Raw genomic sequence first — 20,957 nt, 5'->3', positions numbered from 1 at the left:
AGATTTGACACACACATTATTTCAGGAAAATAAATTTTAAAATCATATCCCAATGTCATTATTTGAGCATCAGCTGTAGTTGGGTAGTAAAGTGTAATATCAGGCTTTTGGCAACTAGTTGCATTGTTCATCAACAACATTAAGTCACCAAGCTTAAAACATCACAACAATGAATTTAATCAATGAACAATGAAATGTTATCAAGACCATTCACAAAATTAAAAGCAGGCCTGGCGTAGTGGCTCACCCCGTAATCCCAACACTTTGGGAGGCTGAGGCAGGTGGATGACCAAAGGTCAGGAGTTCGAGACGAGCCTGGCCAACATGGTGAATCCCTGTATCTACTAAAAATACAAAAATTAGCCAGGCATGTTGGCATGCACCTGTAATCCCAGCTACTTGGGAAGCTAAAGCATGAGAATTACTTGAACCTGGGAGGCGGAGGTTGCAGTGAGATTGTGCCACTGCACTCCAGTATGGGCGATAGAGACTCCTCAAAGAAAAAAAAAACAACTATATGAATTAAAGCTTACATTAACAACAAATAAGAGTTTGAATGTGTTATCCTGCATATGGAAATCAGATAGGTCTTTGAAGAAAAACTGCAACCTCCGCCTCCCAGGTTCAAGCGCTTCTCCTGCCTCAGCTTTCTGAGTAGCTAGGACTACAGGCACGTACCACCACGTTTGACTAATTTTTGTATTTTTAGTAGAAACAGGGTTTCATCATGTTGGCCAGGATAGTCTCGATCTCCTGACCTGGTGATCCACCCGCTTCGGCCTCCCAAAGTGCTGGGATTACAGGCGTGAGCCACTGCATCCGGCCAGAAAAACATTTTAAAATACTTTGTACACTATTTGAAATGACTATGGAATGCTTGTTTCAATCAATAAAAAAAAGAAATATGAAATGTGAAATGCTTGTTTCAATCAATAAAAAAAAGAAATGTGAAATGTAAAATTTAATAAAATTTAAATTTTAGATACATTTAAAATGTCAAAGTCCTCCTTAAGCTTCAAGAAAATAAAATCAATCTCCTTAAAATGAACAAATTATGATGAATTCGTCAAAAATATTTATATTGTGTTAACCTCATTTACCAAGACATTTCAAATTTACATCTTTGTGTCTGTTAAAGACAGATTTAGAAATACACTAATTTTATTCAAATACAGTTTTTAGTTATGATGATTAGATTTAAAGATATGTGTGATCGGTCAGTTTATGATTATGTAGAATAACATGTCAATATTTACAGGATAATGCAGGTAGGTAAGACACCTGTTCTACTATTGCATGATTTCATGATTTAACTGGTGTAATTAGGAAAGGTTTTAGATCTAATTCGAACTGTCATATCCACTTTTTTTTTTTTTTTTTTTTTTTTTTTTTTTTTTTTTTGAGATGCAGTCTCACTCTGTTGCCCAGGCTGGAGTACAGCTCATTGCAACCTCTGCCTCCAGGGTTCAACCGATTCTCGTGCCTCAGCCTCCTGAGCAGCTGGGATTACAGGCACCCGCCACCACGCCTGGCTAGTTTTTGTATTTTTGTAGAGACAGGGTTTCATCATGTTGGCCAGGCTGGTCTCGAACTCCTGACCTGAAGTAAACCACCCACCTTGGCCTCCCGAAATGCTGGGAAGATATACTTCTAATAACAGCATTTCCAACTACATTACTTGGTTGAAACAGTTGAAACTGCCATTGCAGTTGCAGTAAAGGTAACAAGAGGTAAACTTCTAATATGTAACAGGAGATTTGACTTTTCTCATATGTAACAGGAGATTTGACTTTTCATCTAGAATTAGAACCAAAATCGTTAAATTTGTATAGATATTTGCATTAGCAGAAATCCCATTTTGTTCATGTTGTTTTTAAATAAAGTGACTCGTTTAAAATTTAGTTGCATTTTAAAAATCTGTGTTATGGGAGTGGTAATACTGACTCCAGGCAGGGAAATGAGACAATTGTTAGAGACGCAGGGATGGAGCTGAGAGGTCCTCCTGGTCTCCAATGGCCCGGCGGTGGCTCGATGGGAGGGAGAGCGCCCCCTGGAGGCATTGGCGGTTCCTGGCTCGTGTGCTCGCGGGAACCCAAGCTGTGAGCCTCTGGCCCCGCCAGGGCGTACGAATCCTTTCCTCGTTTATCCAGTATTAAGTCACGCTGTGTGCTAAGTACCGTGGCCAGGCAGCAGCTAGACAACGCGCTGAGGTAAAATAGAGAACTAAGGAAGAATGGGGGACCCCAAAGTCAACTTGGTGACACATCACACGCAGGAGTCGGACCCACGGCTCCCCGAGCCACAGCTCAGTGGGGCGGGACCGCCCGGGCCTGGGCGGGGCCGGGGCGGGGCCTGTCACGGGGGAAATCACCGCCCTAGCATCCGGGGAAATCGCGGTCTTAGCATCCGGCGCGCGGCGGTTGAATTGCTGCGCCCAGCGAGGCAACCGCCTCCGAACGCCAGGTGGGGGCGAGGCGTCTCGGAGTCTCAGAGACACCAAGGCCCCTGCGACAAGGTGGCTGCAGCTAGGCCGGGGGCGTCAGGACGACGGAGCGGGTTCGGGTCGGTGACACGCAGACCTGAGGGAGCTGGGCCCGCCTTTTCCGCCCGCGCCCCAGGCCCTTGCAGATCGAGATTTGCGTCCTAGAGTGGGAAAAAAGCAGAGGCCAGGGCGCCGGTAAGTAAAGGTTCCTCCTCACCCGCCGCCAGGGCCCGGTCCGCCCAACGAGCAGGGCGGCGTGAGGGTCACGGGCTGGAAACAACAATGCCACAGCTCAAGCCGACTCCAACAGTAGTAGCGTTTTTGTTTGTTTGTTTGTTTGTTTGTTTTTTGAGACAGGGTCTCCCTCCGTCGCCCAGGCTGGAGTGCAGTGGTGTGATCTCGGCTCACTGCAACCTCCGCCTCCGGATTCAAGCGATTCTCCCGCCTTAGCCTCCTGAGTAGCTGGGGTTACAGGCGCGCGCCACCACACTCGGCTAATTTTTGTATTTTTAGTAAAGACGGGTTTCACCATATTGGTCACACCAGTCTCGAACTCCCGACCTCAGGTGATCCGCCCGCCTCGGCCTCCCAAAGTGCTGGGATTACAGGCGTGAGGCACTGCTCCTGGCCTACAGTAGTGGCTTCTGGAGGCCACTCAGGCACCCCCTGTTTCTAGCTTAGAGAAGGAGGAAATCGACAATAAAGTAGCCTTAAAGGGATCCATGTTCCGCCCTGCCACCTCTTCAGATGTCAGCGTTGTCCAACTAGTGTCCCTAGAATTACCCAGGATGTGAGTGGCACTGATTCATCAGTGGTTTAATCAGCAAAACCAAGTGTCTTACCTATCTGCCTCATCTGCTCACTGCCTCTTTCCAAGGCGTTCTCACAGGCGCAAACACTTTCTTTTCCTCCATTAATTCCAGTAGGTAAGATTTTGCAGTCTCCTTTAAGGTCCCCGTTTCTCAAAGATAGCCCAAGGAATCTCGCCACTTCCTTGCCTTTTACACATCTGGATTCATCCAGAGACATAAACCCTGACCAGGACTAGCTTCAAAAGGGTCCCACCCGTGCAGTCACATAGGGCTCAGAAGGGCCCTGTACTTACTTTCTTGCTCTGCTATGGCAATCTTGAAATTCTTAATTTTTAAACCAGCACCCGCCTCCCCTCCCCGCCACCTCCACAACATTTTCATTTTGCACTGGGCCTGGCCTTAATTCTCAATTTTCTCAAAGGCTGTCATGTAACTATATAAAAATATAGTTAAAAGAGTTTCTTCTCTAGACATGTCTTTAGTCACTAGGACATCAAGAGACAGGACGGATGCTTCTATTAACTGAGAGTTGTTGGAATCATAAAGGCTTTGTAATCCAATAGTCACCCTCCACGCCTTCTCAATTTCAGAACCTAAGAGAGTTTGCTTAGAGAAAGAACCTGAGAGGTTGTAAAGCTGAGCTGACCAAAGCTCATTGAATCACATGTAGCTATTCAGCACTTGAAATGTGGCTGGTCTGAAAAAAGATGTGCTACAAATGTTAAAACGCACACCAGCTTTTAAAGTCTCTTTTTTTCCTTTTTTTTTTTTTTTGAGACGGAGTATCCTTCTGTCGCTGGAGTGCAGTGGCGCAATCCTGGCTCACTGCAACTTCTGCTGCCTGGGTTCAAGTGATTCTCCCGTCTCAGCCTCCCGAGTAGCTGGGATTGTGGTAGCTGTGCCTGCCACCACACCCGGCTAATTTTTGTATTTTTAGTAAAGACGGGGTTTCACCATGTTGGCCATGGTTGGCCAGGCTGGTCTCGAATTCCTGACCTCAGATGATCTGCCCGCATCAGCCTCCCAAAGTGCTGGGATTGCAGGCGTGAGCCACCGCACCCGGCCAATTTTTCTTTTTCTTTTTTGAAGACGGAGTCTTACTCTGTTGCCCAGGCTGGAGTGCAGTGGTGCAACCTCGGCTCACTGCAGCCTCCGCCTCCCGGGTTCAGGTGATCCTCCTGCCTCACCTCCCCAAGTAGCTGGGACTACAGGCATGTGCCACCACGCTGTCTAATTATTTTGTATTTTTAGTAGAGACGGGGTTTCACCATGTTGGCCAGGCTGGTCTGGAACTCCTGACCTCAGGTGATCCTGAGCATTTTGGCCTCCCAAAATGCTGGGATTACAGGTGTGAGCCACTGCACCTGACACTTTTTTTTTTTTTTTTTTTTTTTTTTGAGGAAGAGTGTTGTTCTGTTGCCCAAGCTGGAGTGCATTGACTCAATCATGACTCACTACAACCTCATCTCCTCGGCTCAAGCCATCCTCTTGCTGCCTCAGCCTCCCGATCACAGGCATGCACCACCATGCCCAGCTAATTTTTAAATTTTTTTGTAGAGATGAGGTCTCACTATGAGAAACATACTCGGGCTGATCTCAAACTCCTGAGTTGAAGCAATCCTCTCGCCTCCCAAAATGTTAGGATTACAAGTGTGAGCCACTGCACTCAGCCTAAAGTCTCCTTTTTAATTTAAAATATTTTATCCACCTTTATATTAATTACATGCTTAAATGGTATTTTAAATAAATCAGATTAAATAAAATATATTCAAATTAATTTTACCTGTTCCTATTTATTTTTTAACATGACTCAGAAAATTTTAAATTGTAACTATATGTGGGGCTCACATTATATTTCTTTGGGAAAACACTATTACAAAAGTTTTGAGATATTGGAAACTTCTTATAATGTTCAGAAAAACTGCCTTCCCCACCACCCACCCCACCCAAAAAACTACTCACATTGACTCTTATCTCCCAGAAAATACCACTACCTACTCTTATCCTATGCGATCCATATCAAACAACCTTACTAACCCAGCTTAACTCAAAGGCCTTGGCAGTTAAAGAACCACAGCCTAATTACAGATGGTCTAGGGCTGCAGAGAAAGGCTCAAACTTCCCTCAGCTGTTGCATTAGAACCAACTCAGTTGCTGGCAGACCTATCTCTACTGCTTTGGCTGTTTGATTGTCCAGTTTTGCATAAGTGAACTGTAAAACTATAGAGAAAGGAAGAAAGATGTCATCAGGGAGGGTGGTCACCTCACCAACCTTCACTCCTAATTATATTGTTACAAACTCTGGCACTGCAGCATCCTTGGGCTGACTTCTTTTTGTCAGTCACACCACTTTAAAAAGTAATTAGCTTTAGTGAAGAAATTGCCGATGCTCTAGTCTGAAGTGTAGATAGGGACAGAAAATTACCTGTAAATTTAAGCTTTCACTTGAGCAGTCTCCATTAGTTATGGAATATAAAATGGGCAGACTCCAATATCTCGATCTTTAGTGTTTTGAATGGCTCTCAAAAGCAGTGTGATGAGGGAAGATGTTAGCTTTACATCAGTGTGTACTGGATGCAGTCCTAATCCAGTCCTCCTAGAGCCTCTAGTTCCATGGAAAGAGTTCTTAGTCTGTTAGTTCACATGAGTGCCAATTGTTCAAAAGAACCTGGCATCTCTCTTGCTCTGTCTCTCGCCATGCGGCATGCCTGCTCCTCCTACACCTTCTACCAAGAGTTAAAGCATCAGATGCCTAGCAGATGCTGGTGCCATGCTTGTACCACCTGCAAAACCATAAGCCAAATAAAACTCGTTATAAGTTGCCCAGCCTCAGGTATTCCTTTATAGCAAGGCAAAATGGATCAACACACTTGGTTTATGTCTTCCTTTGGAAAGATAAGGCTGTTTGTGAGCTACCTCACCCACGAGTGTGTTTTGCCTATTCACTGCTTACCCGTCTGTATTAGTCTTTCATGCTGCTGATAAAGACATACCCGAGACTGGGCAATTTACAAAAGAAGGAGGTTTATTGCGCTTACGGTACCACATGGCTGGGGAGGCCTCACAATTATGGCAGAAAGCAAGGAGGAGCAAGTCACATCTTACATGGATGACAGCAGGCAAACAGAGAGCTTGTGCAGGGAGACTTCCATTTTTAAAGCCATCAGAGCTCATGAGACTTATTCACTATCACAAGAACAGCACGGGAAAGACCCGCCCTCATGATTCAATCACCTCCCACTGGGTTCCTCCCACGACACGTGGGAGTTGTGGAAGTTACAATTCAAGATGAGATTTGGGTGGGGACACAGCCAAACGATATTACCGTCCCATCATGAGGCTCAGTCTCAGCTATGCTTCTGAACTGCTTTGCCTCAGGAGCCACAGTATTTGACAAAGCCTTAGAAGCTGGATCTCCACCCCAGTAGACACCTGCAGGTGACTGAAATGAGATTGCCCCATCAGGGTGGGAGGATCTACCATCACACAGCCATGTAATTTCTTAAGAATTTAAGAAAGCTTTAAGCGAAAAAGCCTTGGCAAGTTGAGTTGGGAAAGAATGTCTACCACTGGCTCAAATTACTGCCTTTCTGAGGCTTCCCTTTCACCCAACATGCAAAGGTCACTCTTACGTGCAACAGCACCTTTCAACTGATCAGGTCAGCACTGTGAGATAGAATTGAGGTGTGAACACCACAGAATGCAAAATATTTGGGAATCCCTGGAAGCATAACAGAGGTGGGAACTGGGAGTTGAAGCTCAAGCATTCCTCCTGGCACTGAGAAAGGCTTGGTCTTGTCCTGATCTCTGGCTTTTGGTAGTGAAGCCATTTGGGCCTGTAGTTTTGTTACAAGATTTTTAACTACACAATTCAACATTTTTAATAGACATAGAACTACTTAGGTTATGCACTTACATGAGCTTTGGTGGTACCCATCTCATAAGGAATCGGTCCATTTCCTTACAAGACTTCGATGACTAAGTTGACTTTATGGGCATACAATAATTTGTGATATTATTCTATCCATTTAATGTCCTGAGACCTGTAGCATTGTCCCCTTTTTCATTGCAGATGTTGGTAATTTGTGTCTTCTTTTTTTTTTTTTTTTTTTATCAGTCAGGCTAAAGTAGTTTGGGCACTACTGACATTTTGGGCTGGATAATTCTTTGTCGTATGAGGCTCACCTGTACGTTATAGGATGTTCAGCAGCATCCCTGGCCTCCACCCTCTAGATCTAGCAGCACTCCTCCAGTGGTGACAACCAAAAATATCTCCAGATACTGCCAAATGTCTCCAGAAAGGCAGAATTGCCCCTAGTTGTATACCACTGCTTTAGACTACTTTATCTCTGTTACTATGTTTTCTGTTTCAAGCATATTCATTTAATGTAAACATTTTTTTTCTCTGCTGAAATTCCCCTCTGGTCATTCATGTTGCTGTCTATTTTTTTCCACTAGAACCTTCAATATATATGATTAATATATTAATCAAATATATTTTAAGTTCCATCTCTCTTAGTTCTAACACTTAGGTTATCTGAGAGTGTGGTTCTGTTGATTACTTTCCCTCTTCACAATGAGTTGTTTTTTTCTTTTTCATGCTCATAATATTTTATCAAATGCCAAGCATCTTGTGTAGGACAGTAGGGGTTGAGATAATCTATGCCCCAAAATAAGCATGCTTTTTCTGCTAGGTCAGTAATGTGGGGTCTTGAATCAGCTTACTCAGTAGTTAAGCTGGGTTTGGGTTTTATTGGTCCATCTTCAGTACACTACCAGGTTCGATTTCCTCTAATATTACCTTTTGCTTAGGGTAGCGTGCTAGAGGGATTTTCTCAATATCCTATTTCATTCTCAGCTTGCAGCCTTCCCAATGAGCCTATACCACACAGGAGTCTCTCTCCATGCTTTTGCCTTTCACCCTGCTTGTTACTTGGTGCTTGCTATCTTGGTAGAGGACGCCAGAAGACTTGGTCATCCTGGTCCAACCTCAGTCTTGGGTAAGGAAAGGTCTGGGCAGATTTTTTGCCTTTTCCACAGTAAGAGCTTACTTCCCTGTATTAGTCTGTTTTCACACTGCTATAAAGAGCTACCCAAGACTGGGTAATGTATAAATTACCAGTTCCACATGGCTGGGGAGGCCTCAGGATACTTACAATCTGGCAGAAGGCAAAGGGGAAGCAAAGCACGTCTTAGATGGTGGCAGGAAAGAGAGTGAAGGGGGAAGTGCCACTTTTAAACCATCAGATCTCATGAGAACTCCCTCACTGTCACAAGAACAGCACGGGGGAAACCACCCACATGATCCAATCACCTCCTACCAGGTCCCTCCCTCAACAGGTGGGGATTACAATTTGAGATGAGATTTGGGTGGGGACACAAAGCCAAACCATATCTTCCCCTAATAGATCTTCACCACCGAGGAGGCTCTCTCTAGTCTCCTGCCTTGTCCCAAGTCTTTTCCATCAGTACCCAGTAGAGATCATGGAAGAGAGACTGAAAGTGGAAGCAAACTGTCTTTATGTCTGAGGCTCCCAGGGGTTTTATACTCTTATGCTGGTCCACACTTGACCTTTAGCAGTTCATTAACAATTTTAGCTGAATTCTTATCAGTGTATGAGGTACTTGATGTCTCTTCTTCAGTGCTCATGTCCCTTTGCTCCTTTGCCAGGTCAGTCTTTCCTTGGATTTCAAGCTACTTTATTGGTCTGTGACCTTAGGTGGGGTGACCAGTTGTTCCAGTTTGCCTGGATCTGAGGAATTTCCCAGGATATGGGACTTTTAGTTCTCATACTGGGAAAGTCCAGTTGGTCTTCCTAACCTCAGTCCTCTGAGTTTCAGGAAAAATTATTTCGTAGTTCTTCTGGTTGTTGGCATAGGAGCGATGCTCTTTCTAGGTTTCTACATCCTAGGCAGAAGACAAATTACTGAAATATTTATGCATGTTGAATATGGACAAAAGTGGCTCTTGAGATAGTGAGAAACCATAAACCATACGGGGGGAAACATCTGTTTCTTACTAAAGCAGGGAAGTTCTTGTGAAATATTCCCGAAAATAGAGAATAAGGAAAATCATTTCAGCATCTGCCATTCTTTTGTCTGTCAGCATCAGATTTACCTGATTACCTAAATGAACTCTCATTGAAGAGGTGGGTCCGCACCTATTCCTTCTACACCTGTAGTCAGCATTCAACCAGCACCAGACTTATACTTTACCCCCAGAAACTGAGCATCTTTCATAGATTTTTGAGCAAAACTTTTTTCAAAAAAAATCTGTATTCTCTCTTGTCAAAGGAAGATGGCTGAGTGTAGCAGTAATCTTTGAACATTAATATTGACCATCTCTGGGTGAATAAGCCTGTGTGTGACACATGCATGTATAATCTTGCTATCAGCTGCCTGGGGGCATATTTGGTTTATGTTACCATGGGCAATACCTCTGGTATTGTGTTATTTTATTTCAGATATTGTGGGAACCAGGAGTGTTTGTGACCCCTGCAACCATAACTAATGGTTATGTGGTAGGCAGCCTCAAGGAAATGCTCTGTATCTGGTGTGACGACGAAAGCGTTATCATGTGCTCAATTACTCTTCTGAGCATCCTTGAGTATCCAAGAAAAATATAACCTCTTGAGGAGCTTATAGTCTGTGTATGTGATATCTTCCTATTAAATAGTCAAGATAGTGACATTAGTACAGCAGAATCAACACAGAAATCTTAAAACTGGGAACATTTATAATTTCAACAACTGTAGGCTTTATACAGCTGTAGATATAAAAATAACAGCTAAGACCTGTATTGTGTTTGTTATGTGCCAAGCATTGTCCTAAATATTTTACACTCATTACTATGCTAAATCCTCACCTACATAAGCTTTATAACAACCTTATGATGTTAGATATTATTATCCACATATTACAGATTAGAAAAAAGGAACAACATGGCTAAGAAATGTGTTCAAGGTCACACTAACAGCTAGTGGTGGCAGTGAGACTTGAGCCTGTGCAGTTTGTTTCCACAGTTCTTTTGTTGTTGTTGTTGTTTTGTTTTGTTTTAAATGAGAAGGAGTCTCTCTCTGTCTCCCAGGCTGGAGTGCAGTGGCGTGATTTGGCTCACTGCAACCTCCGTCTCCTGAGTTCAAGCAATTCTTCTGCCTCAGCCTCCCAAGTAGCTGGGATTACAGGCACCAGGCACCATGCCTGGCTAATTTTTGTATTTTTAGTAGAGACAGGGTTTTACCATGTTGGTCAGGCTGGTCTTGAACTCCTGACCTGCCTCGGCCTCCCAAAATCAGGCAGGTGATGTGCCTGCCTCAGCCTCCCAAAATGCAGGCAGGTGATGTGCCTGCCTCAGCCTCCCAAAATGCTGGGATTAGAGGCATAAGCCACTGTGCCCGGCCCTCCAGAGTTCTTTTAACCACTGTGACAGTGGTCGCAAATACAGAAGAGATAAAATATTTCAACTTGCAGGATGATGTAGAGAAAGTGAGAGTTGTATATGTGAAAAAAGCCTTTTAAATACCACTTTGATTTTAGGTCATGTGCCAACCAAGGATGTAGAGAAAGCTGAAAGAGGACATGCTAAGGAAAGTAAGTTAGCAAGTGGTATAGTGATGCCCTGGGCTCATAAGTCAACAAACAGCATGAAATACAGAGACAGTTGTGCCCATCTGATACAAATGTCATGTGATGCAGATGACTCAGTAACAGCGGAAGTGCTACAAAAAGAAAAAAACTTGTAAGAACAGCCCTACCTCTGCATATAAAATACTTGAGTACTTTCAGTTTCAAAATTAAAGATTGCTCAGAAACCACCTGCCATACAGAAGATATTTAGGATGAAAATTTTTGTCAAATGATTGAGAATGTGTTAGGCCATTCTTACATTGCTGTAAGGAAATATCTGAGACTGGGTAATTTATAAAGAAGAGGTTTAATTGGCTTATGTTTCTACAGACTGTACAGGAAGCATAGCACTAGCATCTGCTCTGCTTCTGAGGAGGCCTCAGGGAGCTTTTACTCATGGCAGAAGGTGAAGTGGGAGCAGGCACGTCACATGGCAAAAGCAAGAGTGAGAGAGAGAGTTGGGGAAAGGGAAGTACCACACACTTTTAAATGACCAGACTCACAAGAACTCACTGTCACGACGGCAGCACCAAGCCACAAAGGATCCATTCCTACGACCCAAACACCTCCCACTAGGCCCCACCTCCAGCATTGGGGATTACAATTCAACATGAGATTTGGGTGGGGACAAATATCCAAACTATTAGATTGGTGCAAAAGTAATTGTGATTTAATACGTCAGAGAATAAAACCAATGAATGGAAAGTACAAAGAACTTTGCTTTGAAGGTGACATCGTGGATGTTATCAACTCATGTGAAGCAAAGTAGATTCACAAATGACTAGAATATCTCACAAATCCCAAGACTGGTTCTTGTAAGAGGATACATAGGAAAGACAGGACAGTCAACAAGAATATTCAAAGCATTTGGCAAGGGCTGTCTTGAAGGAGTAGGATGCTTTGAGAGTTCTATGATGGGTTTTTTAAGCCAACTGATTATTATAACAAAGTATATTAAAACTATGTATGAGATGAAGTATTTTAGCCTAGCCCAAGGGAAATCACTAATGTCCTCTCTATACCTACTGGGTGACCTAGATGATACAATACAGCTCTTATTAAGTGGCACTTATTTATATGTGAGCCTGATATTCTCACAAAGGCAAAAAAGAAAAAAAAAAAAAAAGGGTGGAGGGGAGGGTATAGTGGTGACCTGGGAGTAGGGAGGAAAACTCAGATTGTGTTGAAAAATATAATGCAGCAATTTTATAGATTGGTTTCTTAAGGTTAACTTTATAGTCCAAAAGGTATAGAGGGTTCATAATCCAGTACAATTTGTAGACATTAATGAAAAGGTACTACATATTTTGTGCTTTACTGTAGCATATTTTATCCTTAAGACCAGGTAAACACCATTTAATATAACAAGCTCAGCTAAGTCTTGGATAATTTAGAATTTTCTACTCAAAAGAACTGAGTGAGGATGTCCTTTTGTAGAACGAATTATGTGCTTAAGGTATTGTTGTCAATGAGGAGGAGGAGGAGCACTGCTCTCCTAAGATCAGCTCTATTCCGAGGCCATGTTTATGCTTTTGTTTAAAAAAGTGATTATTACTTTCTAAATCGAAGTGATCCCAGAGAAGACTGGGTTTGAGGCTTGGTGAAGGTTACATTATGAGTAAAGGACACAGAGGACATTGGATTGGCAGTGTTCAGTGTGTGTGGCTTTTCACGTCTCCCCAAATCCGCCTAGGAGATGTATTTAGACTACTAAAACCCGTTGTTCTACCTGCTCAGGAAGCGAGCTTATCAAACCTCTTTTATCCTGAGCTATATTATCTTGAAATTGCAGTGTATTAACTCACATGGTGCAAAAACTGCCTTTCACTTGTCTGACCATCTGGATCTAACATTCAATATTCAGAAACAATCCTTGCTAAGCTATCATCACTGTCTTGCCACATAGCCTGTAGTTGATATGATAATGATTAGGCATCATAACATATGGTCATTTTGCAACAGTGGAAGGAGAGGACGTTGTAAGGGATGGGTGCATACAGCTCTCTGCAAGCAAGAGGTACAATAGTGCTGAGCAAAGCAAGAGGTATAATAGGGTCTGGCTAGGTGTTACCACATAAATGGACGTTGGACGTATCATGATGTTTATAGGCATAACGAAACCCAACTGCATATGTTTTTGCCATAGCCTCAGTCAATAGCTTGCCACAGGGAAGCATTACACACAGACCTTGCCGTGGGGACTATTTGGTTGTTCAGATACCTGTCTGGTACATCACAAGGCATAGACAGCTACTGCCTAGCTGCCAGAATCAGTAACTATAATAACTGTTACAGGCCAGGCATGCTGGGACATAACCTGTAGTCCCAGCTATTCAGGAGACTGAGGCAGGAGGATTACTCGAGGCCAGGCATTTGAGGCTGCAGTGAACTAGGATCATGCTACTCTGCTCCAGCATGGACAACAGAATGAGACCCTGTCTCAAAAAAGAGAGAAAGAAATGTATATTAAAAAACTGTTATAATGGTTTCCTCACAGAGGAAAGGTGAGGAGGGCTTGTATAATAACTATGTTGATACCATGAATCAAAAAAATGGCAAATATTACTGTTTTTTGAAGTTTTTGGAAGAATCTAATCCCCCCAAAGAGCTTATTTTTCATAAACACAAGAAACAGGTGTACACATCCCACATTTTATTAATGTTGTTTGAGGATTTGTGAGTGGGAATTCAAAAGCAAGCACAGGCTGCACTGATCAGTTTAATATTACGTGTTTCAATTTTGTTGTCATTGCCTCTCTTTCTGCAAAAAGACTTCCCATATTTTCTCTTAAGGTTTTCACAAATTTCAGGCCAATTGATGAACATTATTTTCACCCACAGGTAAGGTTTAACTGAAAATAGTAGGATCTTACTGTTACCATTACACACTGGATATTTTCTTTTCAGATTTTATTTGGAGAGAAGCAAGCATCTTTGCCTCTTTGGAGTAGGAAATTCAGACTTGAAAAAGGTAGGATTTTCTTCCTCTTTCTTTCAACTTGTGAAAAAAAAGTGTAATTTTTAAAATTGGACACTTTGTTAAAAATTTAAGATAGTTTCTTTTTAGTTTTGTAGATATTTTTAAATTAGGGATGAAGGCTGTAGATAGTATATCTGAATTTTAAACAAGTGTTTTAAATATGGTTTTCAGAAACTTAGACTAAACTTTTCTCATCTTAATTTTCAAAGCTATTTAATTTTGTGAAAAATTACATTGCAAACTAAAGTGAAAGGAGTTATGTCTTGGAACTTCACAAACTTTTACATTTTATACTTTAGGCACTGATTATAAATGAAGGTGGTGGGATGATGGTAGACAGGATTTACGCCATGGCATTTGAACTGTATGATTGAATGGGAAAGGGAAACCAGTTATCTCACTATGCATTAAAATAGGCACTAAAGTGTAAATGTGTAGTTTAATAATGACACCTGTGTAATAACTACCCAGGCTAAGAAATAGAAAATTACCAGCGTTCTAGGAAATATACGCATATTGCTTCTAAGTAACAGCCCTTCTCCACACAGGTGACCACTATCTTTACCTGTATACTAAAATTCCTTTTTTCATACTAGTGGTTCTCAAAGTGTGGTGTGGCATCAGTATCATCTGGGAATTTGTTAGAAATGCAAATTCTTGGGTCCATTCTCTGATGTATTACATTTATATATTTTTTATGGGATGTATATTTATATGATAAAAATGTAAAGCAATGATTCTCAAACTTTAACATGCTTCAGAATGACCTGGATGGGCTTTTAAAACACAGATGCTGGGTCCTACCTAGAGTTTCTAATGATCTCTTTCTATTGTCTGTTTTAATCATTGATTCCAATTTTCTTATATGCTGGTTATGTTTGACCCTCTGCTAGTCATTGCACTTGAAATGTCATTTTGTGGAAATAATTGTCTGGCCTGTAATTAAGATACTTGGTCCCAAAGATCACACATATTTGCTTTTGTTGGGTACCTGCAGGTACCACAAGTTTGGGCCCACCTGTTCAAAGTTTGATATTTCCTGGACAACTCAGAGGAGTCTCAGCGCATTCACATTATTACAATTCTTGTTCACCTTCACTCTGAGATTTTGGATCCCAGATTGTTGTAGGAGAAGGTCTCCTGACAGACTCCCCAACTTATATGAACCCAGGGTTTTGTTTTCAATCTCCCCTGTACTCTGAAATGCTGTCAAAATGGAGGTCCTAATGTTCTGGGATTAGCAGTGCTTTCCATGAAAAAGTGGCTTCAGGCTTGTTTACTTCTCTTGATTCTTTGCTTCTCTTAACTTTTGGCCTGATAATTCCTTACTATTTTGTAATCTCTTTGAGGCTTTTTAAAATATTATTTGAAATATATTTTACCCAGTTTTTTAGTTGGTTTGTTTTCAGCTGGCAGACTGACCTAAATAACCTGGGCCACCATTACTAGAAATGGAAAATAAATTAATAAAGCACAGTATTTTTCAAAATACTGTGGTTTTTCAAAACATTAAAAAGCAATAGATGGGCCGGGCGTGGTGGCTCAAGCCTGTAATCCCAGCACTTTGGGAGGCCGAGGCGGGCAGATCGCCTGAGGTCAGGAGTTCAAGACCAGCCTGGCCAACATGGTGAAACCCCATCTCTACAAAAAATATAAAAAAATTAGCCGGGTGTAGTGGCAGGCGCCTGTAATCCCAGATACTCGGGAGGCTGAGGCAGGAGAATTGCTTGAACCCGGGAGGCAGAGGTTGCAGTGAGCTGAGATGGCGCCATTGCACTCCAGCCTGGGCAAAAAGAGTGAAACTCCATCTCAAAAAAAAAAAAAAGAAACCAATAGATGTTTATATTTTTGGGAACAGAAAGTTCTTATTTTTAGTCTACAAGTTTAATCAGACATGGGACACACAAGATGGTTTGGATACAAAAACTTTTTTGTTAAAAGATTCCCGGAGTTCCATATTTAAAAATATTTTATGACCTTTAACCTTATGACCTTAAATAGTAATATAACCTTTAACCACTCCGGAGTGCTCTGATATTTACTCAGTGGGTTCCAAGAAATGCTTCCCACAACTTCAGAAAGCCTCACAAAGTGCAGAGGTGTGCCTAATACAGATCCACTTCACGATTTGTGATAGTGATATCAAAACACTAGGGGCTCAGTCTAGGTCCCATTGCTTACCGCACAAAAAGAAGCAAGTATTGCCAGGGAAGACTTATTATTTTACAGTTGATGTCAACCAGAGAGACCAGAGCCAAACCTCAAATCCATCTCCTCGCTCCAGCCAAAGTTAGGGGTTTATATAGTGGGGAAGGAAGACAGGAGAGGCAAGGAAGAGGAGTTGATCAACAGGCAGCAGGTGGTCGAATGGGGGATCTAGTATCTCACTGTAACCACATGTGGAAAGACAGTGATTAGGGATGGGTAAGGAAGAGGTAGTGGTCAACAGGCAGCAGGTGCTTCTTCTTGTCTGAGTGCAGCGATTCAGAAAGCCACAAGATGCAGGAACTCTCCAGTTCTGAGCTACAAATAACAAAGGGTGCTTTTCACATCACATAGAGGCTTTCCAGCCATGACACTTCTTAAGTTACAAGGCAAGTTATGGCCAACCTCCAACCAACCCTTAGTTGATAACTTTTGTTTAAAACAACACATTGACCTTTAAACCAATATGATGCCACCATTATTTTCACACAACTTATCACTTAAAAATCAAAATATTGCTCTCACAAGTATAAAATTTCTTAGTATAAATTTCCATTTCTTATTATAAAATCCTACTTTATGAAAAGGTATGGAGAGCCAGGACCACCATGAAGCCCACTCAGTTTAACCACTTCCTTATAGACATATCGTATTGCATCCCATGTGTTTTGTTGTCTGGGATGTAGGTATTTGCCTTATTTAGTAGCACATGCTCCTCCTCCCTTCCCAGCTAGAATATGATCTAAAGACATGTGGTTTTAGACCACATTTATTATGGCTACCATTTCTTTGGCATTACTTTTACATAGCTGGTCATATATAATAGCTGTATCACTGATTGCTGAGGTTGCTCAGTCAACTGAACTTTGGAAATTATATAACAAATTCTGTTTCTGAGCCTAATAAGAATTTTGAGGAACCATTTAATGGCCCCAGTGGTCTAATTTAATGGCCTAATTTAAGTGGTCTAACCATTTAATAGCCCCAGTTATGCCCAAATAGCTGCCACTACTGTATTCCTCAGGCAGCCATTGGTGTGCACATGACCTCTATATCCAGTAAGTAGAAGAATGAGGAGTGGGCCTATACTTTTTGCCAAAATCCAGAGTCCAATTTTTGATATTCAGCATAGATGTTAAAGAATGGGACCCTTATGAGCACCTTGATTTTACAAGCACTAGTGCCTTGAACTCTCAGAATCATCTAGATATGGTTGAAGATTATGCTTAGGACAGCAAGGGGCAGGAAATGTATGTCTCGGGGTTTAGGGATATATCATCTTTCTTGAAGCGCCAGTTAAATGGCCAAGTATGATTGCATCTGATAGAGATTTAATAAATCTCATGAGCCTCCATCTCCACATGTGCTTTCTTTCAACTGCAGCAGGCCTTCCATTTATGATCACTTAATAAACTTCGCCTTTGCATAGGCTATCCAGTTTCTAGAATTTGCCCAGTTTTTTTACTTGGTACCATGATTTCCCATCTCTCAATTTTCTGGAATGAAGTGTGTATCTCCAGTACTTAGGATCTATATTATACTGTATTTGCAGCCTCTAGACTAATTAGATAACTTAGCATATAGCCAGAGGTATGTAATTCAATATTTTCTTGAGAAAATTGAACTCCTTGAGGTCCTCTGAATCACCTGAGATGTGTGGGGCAATTCCTAAGTGTAATCATTCCTTTTAAGGTAAAACTGCCCTCATAACCATTACTATTGTACTAGAATGAGGACTACTGACTTACTGGCTATAAGCTTATTTCAGTTGGCATTATAGCCAGTTCTTTCAGTTCTTTCACTGTCTCCAATGCAGATAGCAGATATCTCTTTGAGTTTCTTTTTAAAAGTTTCCATGAGAGTTAGTTCTAGCTAAGAGCTGTATGTCACTGGCATTGAGCTTTCAGGAAATACCTGGTCAGAGCTTCTAGCCCAAAGTGTCTCCAGAGGTGAGCACACTATCATCCTCTTCATTGGAAATGAATACTTGGAATAGTACAGTAAACTATTTGTCCTACTGTAGTTCTTTATCTTACTACAGTAGATTTTTCTTACAGAAGACTTTCAAACAAGATTGGCTTCAAGAACCCTAACCAGTACAACCAGGGTTCCCAAGGGAGAGGGTGTTAAGACTCTGGGTTTGTTGGCAACCCAGTCTAGTTCTTTCCCTGTATTCTTGAAGACTTTTTTTCTGAAGTGGTTGGAGCCAAATAGTCACTGATAGATTGTATAGAGGGAATTAATATACAAAGGGTAGAACAGGGTCTGCTAGATAGCTAGCTAAAGTCAGCATGTGGTCAATTTAAGATGAACTGTGATTGGTAGCTAAAAGTTCTTTGCTGCTAATGTATGGGAAGAAAATAAAAGGATTGGGCAGAAATAGTAGTGTACTTTCCCTATCTTTATCACCCATTTGGCATTTTCAGGCCTATTTGTTATTCTCGTAACCTGTAGACTCCTACAAGGATACTTGCGGCTTAGTTTTCAATGTTTTATATTTCATGAAACATTTGTATCTCAACCACACCCCACACTATACCCCAACTTAGTTGCCTACTCATCTGTTACTTGCACATAAAGTCTCCTGCTCCTGAAAGTTCCCAGTGGGAAGATGTACAAATCTGGGGACACTGGCCTCCCCACTAGGGCAGTTGTCTCAGAAGTGTCTGAAGTTTGGATATTAGGGTTGAAAGGCAGACAGTATAATTAGCACTCTTATTTCTTCTGGTATTTCCTTACCATGATATTTATGGGTTGCCCATCAATTTGGACTTTTTTTCCACCCCATTTTTCAATACCTAGACTAATAGGTATTTCTATTGAGAACTTCCTTTTTCTCTTTTTTAAATTTTCCTCTATTTTCTTTTGGTTATTTTGAGAGCTGAAATTCACAGAAGTATCCTAAATTATCTTTTCCAAAATTGTTATAGCAAAGACTGCTAGTTATCTACTCTGCTATTCATTCTTCTTCCTTTTTCTTTAGCAGAACCTGATTTGTGTGGGGTTAGGGGCATCATGTGCTCAGCTAAAAAACTATAGTGCCCATCCTTCATTACTGCTAAGGATGGCAGTGGAACACAGTTCTTGCCAATAAGGTGTAATCAAAGGTATTGAGAGAGATACCTAGTAAAGCTCCTTAAAAGCCGGTAGCCTCACAGCATGTACTCTTTTGCCTTTCTTTCTTTCTTTCTCTTCTTCCTGCCTGCATGTTAGGGGAGATGCCAGACATAGAATAAACATCTCACAACAGTGAGCCATAAGACAGAAACCAAGATAATAGCTTGGGTCACATCTGAAGAGACTGGGTTAGACACTGTGTGTGAACTCAGACAGTCAGAAACAGTCATACTTTTTGCACACTACCACTATCCCCATTATCTTAGAGTTAAAAAAAAATGCCTTTGTCATGACAGATCCATACTGTTTGTATATCTCCAACACTGTTTGCAGTAAGACTTTACTGCCATCATGTAATTACTCTCACAATCTGAGATGTAGACATTATTTTGCATCTGAATCATTAAAAATAACTACTGTGTCTCTGGCCCCAGGTTGATGTTCGTTAATTATGGAGGACCCAAGATCTTTAAATGGAGTGGTAGCATGCAATTCAGTAGATGGCAATGTGGTCAATTTTGATAATTAGATAAAAATATTAGTATGCACAGCCAGTGGCTTTTAAAATAGTAGTAACATGAAAGTACCGTGAGATAGTTTTACAGCAAATCGCATGTTTTAAATGTATACATTCATATTTTAAGTGTTGTGGGGATGAATTACTTGTTTTATAGGTTTCTATTTTCAACCATGTTTTCCTGTTCTGTACTATTTGCCATAGCAGGACACTGGAAAAGATTTAAGACCTCCAAATGTAAAGGGTTATTGAGAAAGAGTTGCCAAAAAAGGGTCACATATTAGTTAGATAAGTTGTAGTTACAAAATAATATCTACAATATCTCAATTTATAGAAAGACAATATTCTGCATGTACATCTGTCTTAACTGGAAGGCTCTTATAATATCAAGTTGTTAATATTGGGGCTTTTTCTAGCTAGATGGGATAATAGTTTTTTTTAGTGTTCTATTGCTTTAATTTTTCTGTAATGAACTGGTATTACCTGTTCGTAACTTTTTTAAAGTTGAAAATAATTCCTCTTGATGGACATTTAACAAGAGAAGCAGAAGTATGTTGCTGAGAAATGAGTAGCATCAAGTCAGGAACAGTAGGAACAAAGGGACTCCTGCCTTTGCTGCTGATCCACCAGAACAGCCATCAGACTCCTCAGACCGCTGCTGGCTCCTGAGCTGCTCCTGAGCTGCCTGTGGGATCCTGAGTGGCAATGAGCCCTCGCTGTGGCACTAAAGATCCTCTTTCTTGTCTTGTTATTTCTTCATGTTACCTTATCCTATCCTATGGTAATATTGTCTCTGTCTCTCTCTCCCTTTCTCCGCCATAGTGGTGTGTGGTTGACTCTGTTTCTCGCCATGTCTTCTCACAAGACTTTCACCATTAAGCGATTCCTGGCCAAGAAACAAAAGCAAAATCGTCCCATCCCCCAGTGGATTCAGATGAAACCTGGTAGTAAAATCAGGTACAACTCCAAAAGGAGGCATTGGAGAAGAACCAAGCTGGGTCTATAAGGAATTGCACATGAGATGGCACACATATTTATGCTGTATCAAGTTCACGATCATCTTACGATATCAAGCTGAAAATGTCACCACTACCTGGACAGTTGCACATGTTTTACTGGGAATATTTTTTTCTGTTTTTCTGTATGCTCTGTGCTAGTAGGGTGGATTCAGTAATAAATATGTGAAAGCTTTTGTTTCAAAAATGTCTCTGTCATCTT

General features: G+C 41.4%; 1 protein-coding gene and 1 pseudogene across 1 annotated transcript, besides 6 other annotated features; both read left to right on the top strand.

Moving 5' to 3' along the window:
• Positions 2,254 to 2,483: a silencer, noted in NCBI's record as "silent region_14994". NCBI's record gives its function as "represses an Ori minimal core promoter by ATAC-STARR-seq in GM12878 lymphoblastoid cells {active_cell/tissue: GM12878}" and the evidence as "EXISTENCE:reporter gene assay evidence [ECO:0000049][PMID:35858748]".
• RPL39L (ribosomal protein L39 like) lies at positions 2,394 to 20,942 on the top strand. Its single transcript, NM_052969.3, has 3 exons — positions 2,394 to 2,677; positions 13,828 to 13,891; positions 20,562 to 20,942. Exon 3 carries the CDS (start codon positions 20,590 to 20,592, stop codon positions 20,743 to 20,745), a length of 156 nt encoding a protein of 51 aa, NP_443201.1. The 5' UTR covers positions 2,394 to 2,677; positions 13,828 to 13,891; positions 20,562 to 20,589; the 3' UTR covers positions 20,746 to 20,942.
• Positions 2,524 to 2,673: an enhancer, noted in NCBI's record as "active region_20968". NCBI's record gives its function as "activates an Ori minimal core promoter by ATAC-STARR-seq in GM12878 lymphoblastoid cells {active_cell/tissue: GM12878}" and the evidence as "EXISTENCE:reporter gene assay evidence [ECO:0000049][PMID:35858748]".
• Positions 2,682 to 3,188: an enhancer, noted in NCBI's record as "H3K27ac hESC enhancer chr3:186856490-186856996 (GRCh37/hg19 assembly coordinates)". NCBI's record gives its function as "activates a minimal SCP1, AML or CMV promoter by ChIP-STARR-seq in primed H9 embryonic stem cells {active_cell/tissue: H9 hESC(primed)}" and the evidence as "EXISTENCE:reporter gene assay evidence [ECO:0000049][PMID:30033119]".
• Positions 2,714 to 2,813: an enhancer, noted in NCBI's record as "active region_20967". NCBI's record gives its function as "activates an Ori minimal core promoter by ATAC-STARR-seq in GM12878 lymphoblastoid cells {active_cell/tissue: GM12878}" and the evidence as "EXISTENCE:reporter gene assay evidence [ECO:0000049][PMID:35858748]".
• Positions 4,378 to 4,878: an enhancer, noted in NCBI's record as "H3K4me1 hESC enhancer chr3:186854800-186855300 (GRCh37/hg19 assembly coordinates)". NCBI's record gives its function as "activates a minimal SCP1, AML or CMV promoter by ChIP-STARR-seq in primed H9 embryonic stem cells {active_cell/tissue: H9 hESC(primed)}" and the evidence as "EXISTENCE:reporter gene assay evidence [ECO:0000049][PMID:30033119]".
• Positions 10,852 to 11,041: an enhancer, noted in NCBI's record as "active region_20966". NCBI's record gives its function as "activates an Ori minimal core promoter by ATAC-STARR-seq in GM12878 lymphoblastoid cells {active_cell/tissue: GM12878}" and the evidence as "EXISTENCE:reporter gene assay evidence [ECO:0000049][PMID:35858748]".
• Positions 20,541 to 20,936, top strand: RPL39P19 (ribosomal protein L39 pseudogene 19; annotated as a pseudogene).

The sequence above is a fragment of the Homo sapiens genome, chromosome 3 (assembly GCF_000001405.40).
Source record: "Homo sapiens chromosome 3, GRCh38.p14 Primary Assembly".
Taxonomy (NCBI): domain Eukaryota; kingdom Metazoa; phylum Chordata; class Mammalia; order Primates; family Hominidae; genus Homo; species Homo sapiens.
The sequence above is the reverse complement of the archived record's forward strand: the minus strand, read 5'-3'. Positions and strand labels throughout refer to the sequence as shown.